Below are 13,023 nucleotides of genomic sequence, written 5' to 3'. Positions count from 1 at the left end.
TGGGTTGTCTTTGCCACTATGGATAGCACAGCAATGAACATAGATGTGCATGTGTCTTTTTGGTAGAATTGTTTGCTTACTTTTTAGTGTACACCCAGTAGTGGGATTGCTGGGTAAAATGATATCTCTGTTTTAAGTTCTTTGAGAAATCTCCAGTCTGGTTCTCAAAGTGGTAAGACTAATTCATATTCCAATCAACAGTGTATAAGTGTTCTGTTTTCTCCACAGCCCCACCAGCATCCATCGTTTTTCGACTTTTTAGTGATAGCCATTCTGAGTGGTGTGTGGCTTCTCACCTACAGTCATCTCATCTTTGATAAGACTGACAAAAACAAGCAATGAGGAAGGGACTCCCTGTTCAATAAATGGTGCTGGGGCAACTGGCTATCCGTATGATGAAGATTGAAGCTGGACGTCTACTTTCAACACACATAAAATTAACTCAAAATTGACCACAATTTTAAATGTAAGACCACAAACCATAAAAATCTTTTAAGACAACCTAGGAAATACTCTTCTTGACACCAGCTTTGACAAAGAATTTTTGGCTAAGTATCCAAAAGCAATTTCAAGAAAAACAAAAATAGGCAAGTGGGACCTAATTAATTAAGGAGTTACTGCACAGCAAAACAAACACACAAGCAACCAAAACTTCAGCAGATAAGCAGACAACCTGCAAAATGTGAGAAGATATTCACAAACATTGCATCCAACATAGCACTAATATCCAGAATCTATAGGGAACTTAAACAAATCAGAGGCAAAACACAAATAACCCCTTTAAAAATGGGCTGATATGGTTTGGCTGTGTCCCCACCAAAATCTCAATTTGCATTTTATATCCCAGAATTCCTACATGTTGTAGGAAGGATCTAGGGGGAAGTAATTGAATCATGGGGGCCAGTCTTTCTCATGCAATTCTCGTGATAGTGAATAACTCTCATGAGATCTGATGGGTTTATCAGATGTTCCCGCTTTTGCTTCTTCCTCATTTCCTCTTGCCACCACCATGTAAAGAGTGCCTTTCACCTCCCACCATGATTCTGAGGTCCTCCCAGCCATGCAGAACTGTAATTCCAATGAAACCTGTTTTTGTTCCCAGATTTCAGTATGTCCTTACTAGCAGTTTGAAAACAGACTGATACCTGGGAAAATAACACAAACAGACACTTCTCAAAAGAATATATACAAGTGGCCAGCAAATGTATTTTAAAAATATTTAGCATCACTAATCATCAGAGGAATGCAAATAGAAAAATGTTCTGGTTTCTGTCACTATAGGTCCATTTTTTCCTGTTTTGAGCATCACATAAATGGAATCAATATTATAGTTCATTTTTTGTAAGGGGCTACTTTTGGTATTTGTGAGGTTCATTCATGTATTTGCATCTATCTAGGTTTTGTCATCATATATATACATATGTATGTACTCATGCACATCTAGCTATTTCATATCTCAATCAGTCCATTACGTTAATAAACGACAGTTTATTAAGTAAGGAAATCAGTTCATTAAGTGAATAAGTGTCAGTACATATATCTATTTTCCTGTTGATGGAATTTAAATTTGTTTCCAAAATAAATATTGTAAACAAACCTGTTATAAATATCGTCGTACAAGTTCTTTTGCTTATATTCTCCCATTTTTATTGATAAAATATGTAGAAATATAAGTATGCATTATAACTTTTCAGCTTTAAGGAGCTATAACTGACAAACAAAATTGTATGTATTTAAGGTACACCACTTAAGGTATTGATATACTTGGGCACATGTTCATCGTGATCAAGGTAATTGGCATGCCTATCATCTCAGAGAATATCATTTTATGCCTTTAATTTATTGTGAGTCTGTGATAAAAACACCTAAGATCTACTCTTCTGGAAACAGATAAGTTTATAATATAATATTCATTAGTATAGTTGCATTGCTGTATGTTTCATCTCCAGAACTCCTTCAACCTGTGTATCAGTCCATTCTCAAACTACTTTAGAGAACTACCTGAGACTGGGAAATACATGAAGAGAAGTGAATTAGATGACTCACAGTTCTGCAGGCTTAGCAGGAAGCCTTATAGGGAGGCATCAGGAAAATTACGATAATTGTGGAAAGTGAAGGGGAAGCAAGGACCGTCTTCACATGCTGGCAGGGGAAAGAGAGAAAGAGCAAGGGGAGATGCGCCGCACTTTTAAACCTCGAGATCTTGTGAGAACTCTAACACAAGAAGAGCAAAGGGGAAAGCCGCCTCCATGATTCAGTCACTCTTCATCAGACCCCTCCTACAACACTTGAGGATGAAAATTTGACATGAGATTTGGATGGAAACGCTGAGCCAAACAGTATCATTATACCCGGCCACTCACAAATCTCATATCCCTCTCACATTGCAAAATATAATTATCCCTTCTCAACAGTCTCCCAGTTTTCACTCAATTCAGCATTAACACAAACTTCTACAGTCCAAAGTCTCCTCTGAGACAAGGTAAGTTTCTTGGATGTATAACCCTGTAAAATAAAAAACAAGTTAGTTACTTCCAAGATACTATGAGATGAATGCACTGGGTAAATGTTCCCATTCTAAATGGGAGAAATTGGCCACTACAAATGGGCTACAGGCCCCATGCAAGTCCAAACACTAGCAGGGCAGTCATTAAATCTTAAAGCTCCAAAAAAATTTCCTTTTACTCCATGTCTCACATCCAGGACACGCTGATGTAAGAGGTGATCTCCCAAGGCCTTGGGAAGCTCCACCCTTGTGGCTCTGCATGTTAGACTCCCCATAGCTGCTTTCATAGGCTGGCATTGAGTTGCTATGTCTTTTCCAGGCACACCATACAAGCTGCTGGTGGTTCTACCATTCTGGGGTCTGAAGGACAGTGGTCCTCTTCTCACAGATCCACTAGACAGTGCCCAAGTGGGGACTCTGTGTGGGGGATCCAACACCATATTTTCCTTCTACACTGGCCTAGTAGAGGTACTCCATTAGAGCTCAGCCCCTGCATGAGACTTCTGCCTGGATATCCAGGCATTATCATACATCATCTGAAATCTAGGAGGAGGTTCCCAAACCTCAACTCTTGCCTCATGTGCACCAGCAGGCTCAACACCACGTGGAAGCAACCAAAGCTTAGGGCTTGCACCCTCTGGAGCAATGGCCTGAGCTGGACCTTGACCCCTTTTAGCCATGGCTGGCACAGGACAGACAGGGATGCAAGGCGCCATGTCCCAAGGCTGCACAGAGCAGTGGCATCCTGGGCTTGGACAATGAAACCATTTTTCTCCCCTGGGCTTCTGGACCTGTGATGGGAGGGGCTGCCATAAAGATCTCTGAAATGCCCTGGGGACATTTTTTCCCACTGGGGTCCTTGTTACTTATGCAAATTTCTGCAGCCAGCTTGAATTTCTCCCCAGAAAATGAGTTTTTCTTGTCTACCACTTGGACAGGCTGCAATATTTTATCAAACTTTTATGCTCTGCTTCCCTTTTAAACATAAGTTCCAATTTCAGACCATCTCTTTATGAATGCACATGGCTTCTGTTTTCAGAAACAGCCAGGTCAACTCTTCAATGCTTTGGTGCTTAGAAATTTCTTCTGCCAGATATACCTTAAATTATGTCTCTGTAGCTCAACATTTCACCGATCTCTAGGGCAGGGGGAAAATGCCACTAGTCTTTTTGCTAAATCATAGCAAGTGTGACCGTCACTCCAGTTCACAATAAGTTCTTCACCTTCATCTGACACCACCTCAGACTGGACTTCATTGCCCATATCACTATCAGCATTTTGATAAAACCCATTCAACGAGCCTCTAGGCAGTTTCAAACTTTTCCACATCTTCCTGTCTTCTTGTGAGCACTCCAAGCTTTTCCAACCTCTGCCCATTACCCAGTTACAAAGTCACTTCCACATTTTCAAGTATCTTAATAGCAGTATCCCACTCCTGGTGCAAGTTTTCTGTATTAGTCCATTTTCACATTGCTATAAAGACTACCTCAGACTGGGTAATTTATGAAGAGAAGAGTTTTAGTTAACTCTCAGTTCTGCAGGCTAAATGGGAAGCATTATTGGGAGGCATCAGGACGAACAATGATGGTGGAAGGTGAACGGGAAGCAAGAACCTTCTTCACATGGTGGCAGGAGAGAGAGAGCAAGTGAGCGGGGAGGTGCCACACTTTTAAACCATCGGATCTCTTGAGAACTTTATCACGAGAACAGCGAAGAGGAAGACAATCCCATGACCTGATCACTTTATCTTAGGCCCTTCCTTCAACATGCAGGGTCTACAATCTGGCATGAGATTTGAGTCGGAACACGGAGCCAAACCACATTAACCTTCATAACGGGAAGTTTTTACCCTTTGACCAACAATACCCAATTTTTTCCTCCTCCCAGCCCCTGCGACCTACTATTCTACTCTGCTTCCAAGAGCTTGAATATAAAATATTCAATATATAATTCTATATATAAATGAGATCATGCAGCTTTTGTCTTTCTGTGTCTGGCTTATTCCACTTAGCATAATGTTCTCTATTTGTTGCAAATATAAGAATTTCTTTGTTTTTAAAGGCTGAATAATACTCAGTTTTATGTAGGTATAAGCCACATTTTATCTGTTCATTCGTAGATGGACATTGACTCGTTTTCCTTATCTAGACTATTATGAATAATCTCACAATGGACATAGATTTGTCACACTCAGTTTATTTTCTCTAGATGTATGCTCAGAAGTGGGGATGCTCTATGTCCAGTTCACTGAGTAATCTTCATGTTGTTTTTCATACTGGCTGTAATAATTCACATTTTGTTCCAAACCATACATGGATACCTTTGTACCACATATTCAGGTCTTTGTGTAACTCTTGAATCCATTTTTAGCTGATTTCTGTGTATTGTGTGAGGTGAGTTCTATCTATTTCTTCTGCATATGGATACCCGTTTTTCACACCACTCGTTGAAGAGACTGTCCTTTCTCTACTGTGTGTCTTGGGAACTTGACAAAGATCAGTTTATTGGGAAGAAATGGGTTGGTTGCCAGGTTGTGTTTAATGTTTCATTGGATTATATGTCTGTTTAAATGCCAGCATTATAACATTTTGATTTATATAGATTCGATTTTGAAATTATAGATTATGATATATTCAGCTTTGTTATTTATGCCCAAAATTAATTTGGCTATTTGAAGTCTTTTATATTTTTATATAAATTGGAGCTTTTTAAAAACATTTTGTAAAATCATGCCATGGAGATTATTTATTTATTTTATTGGCATATAGTAGATATACCTATTTTATGGGAACATGTAATATATTGATACATTTATAAATGTGTAAAGATTAGTGTAAGATTTACATATCTGTCACATTAAAAATGTACCCTTTCCTTGTGCTGAGCACATTTGAATGACTCCTTTCACTATTTTAATGTTGTGCATTAGATTATTATTAACTATAGTGACCTTACTGATCTATCAAACATTTAGGTCTTATTTCTCCTCTATAAATGTATATTTGTATACAGTAATCAACCTCTCCTTATCTCCTTCTCTCTTCTATCCATCCAGGATTCTGGTAAGCAACAGTCTATTCTATCTTCAGGCGATCCAGTATTTTAGTTTTGACGTAAAATAAGAAGATGCAATATTTGTCTCTCTTTTCTTGGCTTATTTATCTTAACATAATGACTTCCAGTTCCATTCATATTATAGCAAATGACAGAATATTGGGTTTCATGGCTGAATAATATCCTATCGCATACATAGATTACATTTACTCTATCCATTTGTCCACCTACAGACACTGAGGTGCTTTCACATCTGGGCTATTGTGAAAGAGCTGCAAAGAACATGGGAGTGCACATGCCTTCATGAGGTGGTGGTGGTTTTATCTTCTTTAGAACATACCCAGAAGAGGATTTGCCAAGTCATAAGGTATTTCTGTTTTTAATTTATTTTGGAATCTTCATACTACTTTGCACATAGTGGAAACACAAATGGAGTAAACATTAAAAAAGCAGTTTCGGTTTTGATGTATAATCCAGAAACAAATAATGTTTGACCATGATTCTCATTGGGAGTCTCTAATGGATCTGGTGGAAATGCAGGAAGTTTTCTAACCTTGTTCAGGAAATTATGAGTTTGCACCTTTTTCTTTCTGAGGCTTGAAATTGGCATGATTCATGATGCATACTGTTGGGAGGTTTCAGAATGATATGGCAAAAAACATAATGAAAAGGCAAGACAGAGAGAGAGGGAGAGAGAGAGAGTCAGGCCTAGAAAGAGAAAAAATAATTTTCTCAACAGGAGAAAGTGCTGGATATCTGTATCAGTGTTGGGTTTTGCTCATAGACACATCTGTACCGAGTGAGGAACCATGAAGTCAAGGGAGGGGTCTAGAACTTGTTCAAGTGAAGCATCAGCATATTTCTCACAGGCACCAATTTCCACCACATCACAAGGGTGATGCATTTTTGAATGCCATTAAATATGAGTTCACAGTCAGTAATCATGTTTCCATGAAATTCAGTTAAAATACCAAGGGTGTGTCCAGATCACTCATGCACAAATACACAAAATTTGCTTTTTCACGTGTGGCTATCTAGAGACAAAGTGCACTGAGGAGACTTCAGCAGGTTACAGAGATTTGCTTAAGTTTGGAAAACCATAGGAGAGTGCCTTTAAGTGAAGGTTGGTATATAAATTAAATAGGTCAAAATCCCCTCTATGGAGTAGCGTTCCAATTGTGTGGAATTTTTAACTCCTTATTCACGTTATAAAACATAATCCCTGGGACTGACTCCGTGGAGTTTTACTGCTGTGTTGACAAAAATATCTAACAAGCTTCCTTCCAGTGTTTCAAGGGAAGTTTTTCTCTAAATTTTTTCCAATGTATAAATTTTCCTGGCTAAAGATAGTAAAAGGCTGTTAAAAACACAACTGGAATGGCAGCTTTAATCTTTTGCTGATAGGAGTGAGCATAATACATGAATCTCTTTGAGTGCTCTGCTTCATCCAAATACAATAGGTCAAAGGCTAGTACTGGAGGTAAAATTTCCAAGTGTGTATTTTTCCAGCTACCAAGTCATAGGAAAATAACAGATACATCCTTGAGACAGAGGACCATAATGCCACAATGCTGGTAGGAGTACATGTAGACAAGGGAGTTCAAGGGTTTCTTAAAACTGATAATTTTAATGTAAGAATACCATTCTTTTAAACTTATGTGGAAGACTGTGGGAGGTTATAACAATGCCATATTTTAGTATCAGCCCTGCCTCACAGAATCATTTTATAATAGTTCCTTTCATGAGTGTGCTTCACTCGGTTCATGCAAAAACCTGGCAGGTCACAGGCTAAAAACAGAAAATATAGAAGCTTTTAATCAACTGAAAGAGCTGTAGCCTTTGTCAAGGAATTATTGGAAGACACAGAGAACACAGATAGATGATAAATAAAATACATTCATATCCCATTAAGTGTGGAAATTGAGGAAAGTTTACATAAATGTGTCCAAGTGGCAAACTGTTTATTTAATCTGGTAACCAATTTTTCTATAAATTGTAGAGTTGAAATGCAACAAATACATATTTGAAATGATCTGGCACAAATTAAGCAAATATGGTAACTATGTATTTTCACTCATTTTTATTTAAGATCAGCGGCTCAGCATTGATATTTTTGATAATATCTGTGACTCAGCAGCTTTACCTTTTGAGGATATGATCTGGTATGGCAGTTTTCTTAGCTTCAATGTTACCTCTTTTTGCATTGACTTCTACCTTTATATCTGCCAGGAATCTGGGGAAAAGGAGTGCCTGTAAACGTTCCCTAACTTGCCCATTTTGGTGGGTTTTCCAGAATGTGTGAGATGCTTTTTTTTTTTTTTCAAAGCATCCCGAACCCATGCACTGCCCTGAAACATGTTTATTTCCTAGTTTAACAAATTGGCACTTCTAATAAATGCAATCTCTTCTGCCATCTGTGCTGATTTTACATCAGATAGAGGACTGTGTTCTAAAGGAAATCTTATATTAGTAAGAGCAATTTTGTCATTAACCTAGAGTTTTATTATTGAGGTGTGATTCATAACATATAATATTAGGTAGAGGTTCTCAGTGGCAGTGTCTAAATCTCTTGGGTGTACAGTGTCTTCCCCGTTAACATGAAGCATTTACGAGCACAGTCATAGTTTCCAGCCATGCTTCTCCCTGTCTCACAATCACCACAAACTAACTATGACCACAACTGGAACTTGGTGAGTTATTCTTTAATAAGTTTTAAGTTTGTCTTTAATCTTTAAGCCTCTAGATTATTATGTGAGACATAATCTTTATGCCTCTAGATTATTGTGTAAAGCTATTTCAGAAGAAAGTTAAAAAGAACATTTTAACTGACTAAACAACACAGGAAATCATTAATAAAATGCAAAGTGTAGATGTGAGAGGCTCCAGGCCTGGATAATGCAAGAGTTCATGTATGCAGGCAGTTTCTTTCCCCAATTATACAATGATACACCCAGCATGTCAGCTTCATGCCCCATTTGACTCCTATTATGCAAGCGCATGGAAATGACATGCTCAAGGGTCACACACAGATATGAAAACAGGTGGGAGCAGGAGAGGAGACGACTCTGCACTTCTCCTCTGAAGGACCAGGAAAGCCTGGACAGACCATCTCCCCGGCCTCCATGACTGCGCGACGTGCCCACATGGACACTCATCTCTGACAAGATAAGAGGACTCCATTGATGAGGCTGAACATTTTATGATTTAAATTACTAGAGACTTACATTGAGGTTTCAATAACTAATTTTTATAACCCAAATTTACTTACCCCCATGTTGTTACCTCTTTCTTCAGTGAAAAATTGCTTTTGCTGTAATTGAGTTTTAGGAAGATTCCCAATGTTCACAACTGAGCTTCCAAGAGAGTGTCGAGAACAAAAACTGAATGAGGGCAGAGAAACCCATCTTTACTGTGTTCACCACTAAACTCAAGTGGACTCGGCACTGCCTTTGATCACTGTTGCTTCTCCGCAGAGTTCAGGTTTCTATTTCTCACAATTCTAACACAGACTCTCCCTCTCCTCAAAGGTTTGGCCTCCACTGGCTGTAAGGTCACACTGTTCTGAATTTCTTGTCTGAACCATTTTATGAGGGTGGTGATGAGCCATTTAATGGAAATTTTATATCATCTCAGCATGAATCCTATGGGCGGTCACGAATTATTATTCTGATTATGGTAATTGATTTTTCTCAGCATATTCATTACTAGTGATATTCAAAAACCCTTTTTATTTAAATCTTTGATGCTTCATTTTTTGTTGCTATGACACTTTTTCTTCTACTGAGTCTTCCCACTAGCATTATAACATGACCTAATATCCAGGCTCAGTTGTTATATAACAACCACATATGTCAAAAGCTATGCATTCTTTTCACAGCAGACATAATTTTCTCTTTTCTGGAGATGAACACACACTGCTGAGCTACCCCCACTCACAAGAACATATGGAAAATCATGACATTTTTATTTACTTGACTAATAAATTATGTCATTCTCTCTTCAAATTCTTTATCCCCCAGAATGCCATGACAAACTCTTCTGCATCTGTTCAAACCATAAACTCAGAAACCACATGGTGAGTAAAAGCTCACTTGGTTCTGGATATTGGGTCAAGCTCTTCCCCTCCAATGTCCCACAGCATTGGGACCTCAGCCCACCTGTCCAGGTTCTATCAAGAGAGTTTAGCTCCTTCACAGTGAAGGAAACAATTGAGTTAAGAGGGAACCTGCAGAAGATAGACAATATTGAAAACCATTCATATGACAAGGGATTACTATCAAGCATATAAAATAAACTCAACCCAACTGCAAATAATAATGTGGCTAATAATGGAGGAATAACATTAATACATATTTCTCAAAAGAAGAAAAGAAAAAGGGCAGATAGATGATAGATAGATAAATAGATATATTGGTATGTATACATACATATATCGCTAGAAAACACTAATATTCAGGAAAATGCACATTCACAATGAGATGTCTTTTCATCCTTCATCTTTGCTTGAGAGTCAGAAAATCTAAATAAATAAATAAATAAATAAAACAGGAGCTGGCCAGGATTCATAGAAAGGGAAACTCTTATAGACCATTGGTGGAAATGGAAATTAGTGAAGCCATCATGGGAAAAAATAGAACTACCATATAATTCACAATCCAACTGCTGAGTATGTATCTATTTAAATCATTAAAGTAAAAAACTAATATTGAAGAGATACATGTACACCCATGTTTATTGCAGCACTATCCACCATAGCTAACATATGAAATCAACATATGTGTCCATCAACAGATGAATGGATAAATAAAATGTGTTATATTTACACAATGGAATATTGTTCAGTCTTAAAAATGAAATTCTGCTGTTAGAAGCAACATGGATGGAACTGGACACCATCATGTTGAGTGAAACAAGACAGACACAGAAAAATAAATACAGCATTTTCTCAGTGTTATGTGGAAATTTTAAAAAGTTGATCTTCTAGAAGTAAATAATAGAGTAGTGGTTATGAGACGCCGGGAATGGGAGGAGACTGAGAGACAATAAGAGGTTTGTTAACAAACGTATAATTTACAGGCAGATAGGAGGGATGTGCTCCAGTGATCTACAGTGCAGTAGGGTGACTGCTGTTAACAATATAGTGCACATTTTATGTTTACAAGTAGCCAGAAGACAGAAATTTGTATGTTACCAACAAAAAGAAATGTTAGTGTCTAAGCTGATGAATTTGTTCATTGTTCTGATTTAATCATACCACATGGCACACATGCATAGAAATATCACACTGTACCCCATACAGTTATTATGTGCTAACTTTAAAAAATCCTTTAATTAAAACAGATTTTATTTGCATACATTACAAATGCTTCAACACAGAGCCAGGAATAAATACCATTTTTCTTTGAAATGTGAATTTCCTAACAACGTAGTTACATTCATTTGAACCAAACCGTGTATTTGATCATGGTAAGAATAGACAGGCTTATGCATAGAATGATATATTTTAATTTTAGACTTCTACTTAATACCATAAATTCAAATAATTTTAAAACAACTAAGTAAAAACTATAAAGTTGAGGAAATGTGTACGTGGTGTGTGATGTGTGACTTTTTCCTTGCGCACCACTCTGTCCATGGTGGATGTGTGGTGTGGGTGTCTGTGTCTATTTCTGTTTACTCTGCTTGAGGTTCTCTGTGATTCTAGGATCTGTAGTTCAGTGTCTTTCACAAAACTGGGAACGTTCTTAGCCATTATTTCTTTCAAATACTGTCTCTGTATCTACAATTTCTCCTTTCAGATTTAAAATGTACATATACAATACTTTTTAATATTAATGTTTACTTTCTTCACTCTCTTTTCCTTGCACTTTACTCTGTAAAATTTCTAGTGGTATTTTAAGTGAGTGGTTTCATTTAAAAGGTGAGCCAGCTCTACTGAAGGGTGTGCCCAAAGCTTACTCAATGTTTATACTGCATTGCTTTTGATTTCTTATGCATTTCCATTTGATTTTTTCTTAGTATTTTCAACTCTCAGTTCCCTATCTAGTCCTTCATTATGTATACAGTTTCCTTAATAGATTTTTACATATGAATTATAGTTACTTTATATATCTTGTTTAATTAGATAGTTCTAAGATCCATATCATATAGAAGTCTCATTCTGATCATTTGTTTATTATGACTTTGGTATTTCTCATTAATATATGTAATCTTTGTTGATAGCCAGATATTTTAGGTTGGACAGTTGATATTGGCTTATTACTTCATTTTATGCATTTTCTGCCTGTATTTGACCATACTTTATTTTTGCCAGGCCTTTAATGTGGAAATGTTTGAATCTTCTCAGAGCTACATTTGACGTTTACTTTTGCAGTAGACGTCATAGTTGAAGTCTGTTCTTCTGTGTCCACCAGAGACTTCAGATCCTCCAGTGATACCTTGTTTTTCTTTCCTGCTTGGCTTTGTCTCTTCACCCTGTTCCTTCCTCCAGAGAATCTCTTTCAGCTCCTTCAGGTGGGTTAAGATATTATATTGAACTGACAATTGTGAAATTGGTGGAAGGCAATAGAATAAAGGGAGATTTTCTGACCTTTCATGGGTCTATATTTCTACGAAGGCATTGTGACCCTGAGTCTGGGTGTGACATTGCCGGTGTTTCTGAACTTCTGCCAGATGAGATGTTGGTCTGTGTGTTCTTGCTGTTTTCCCTGCTGTGGAGTCCTCTTGTTTTCCCCAGTTGTTCCCTCCCACAGCTCCAATGTTCTCTTTTGGTGTTATCAGCTTCCAGAGTTGATGACCTGACCTAGAGATTAAGGCTCTGATTAAATAAGAAGGAGGGGAGATACTTCTCAATGGAACTTAGGTGAAGACCTCTTTTTCCATCTCAGTTCCTAAGGGATGGCCCCAGTGCCCCTAAGATCCTGGCTTTGGTGGCTTGCTCCTGCAGAGTAATTTCTTAGTTCTGCAATGGGGATTAAGGAGGTGGGTCTGAATGCATTTCAGAGTGTGGGCTCTTTTTCTCTCCCAGACAGACACATTGGGACAAAAGATTTTTGTGACTGTCCCCATTTTTGGGAAAAAGGTTTCAAGGTATAGGAAAGCTCTTCAGTATGTGGTCCCTGAGAAATTCACGCTACAACACATTTACCACACTTGACTTCACCAATTCAGTATCTATGTATTTTTTTCTCTTATAATAGCCTACATTTTTATATGCCAGACTCTGCCTCAGTTCAACTCGTACCCATGCCTTTTTACTCTCTGCAAGAACTTGTCTCTCCCTAAATTTCGGATTTGATGATTATCTTAAAACCTCCAGTATTTAAAGTATATTTTAAAATTGGCAAAATTCCATCTCCTGTGTTTATCTGTTATGTTGATGCTGTAAAACAGTAAGTAAAATATACTCCTCATCTATGTACATTTTGAAGCTGAGTTGCAGGTTTTTTGGTAAGACCCAGAGT

The 13,023-nt window shown here is 37.6% G+C and overlaps 1 gene; it reads left to right on the top strand.

The window, feature by feature from the left end:
- Nucleotides 1-13,023, top strand: part of IGH (immunoglobulin heavy locus) — a 1,293,408-nt gene that overhangs the window by 803,541 nt on the left and 476,844 nt on the right.

Source organism: Homo sapiens, chromosome 14 (assembly GCF_000001405.40).
Source record: "Homo sapiens chromosome 14, GRCh38.p14 Primary Assembly".
NCBI lineage: Eukaryota > Metazoa > Chordata > Mammalia > Primates > Hominidae > Homo > Homo sapiens.
The sequence above is the reverse complement of the archived record's forward strand: the minus strand, read 5'-3'. Positions and strand labels throughout refer to the sequence as shown.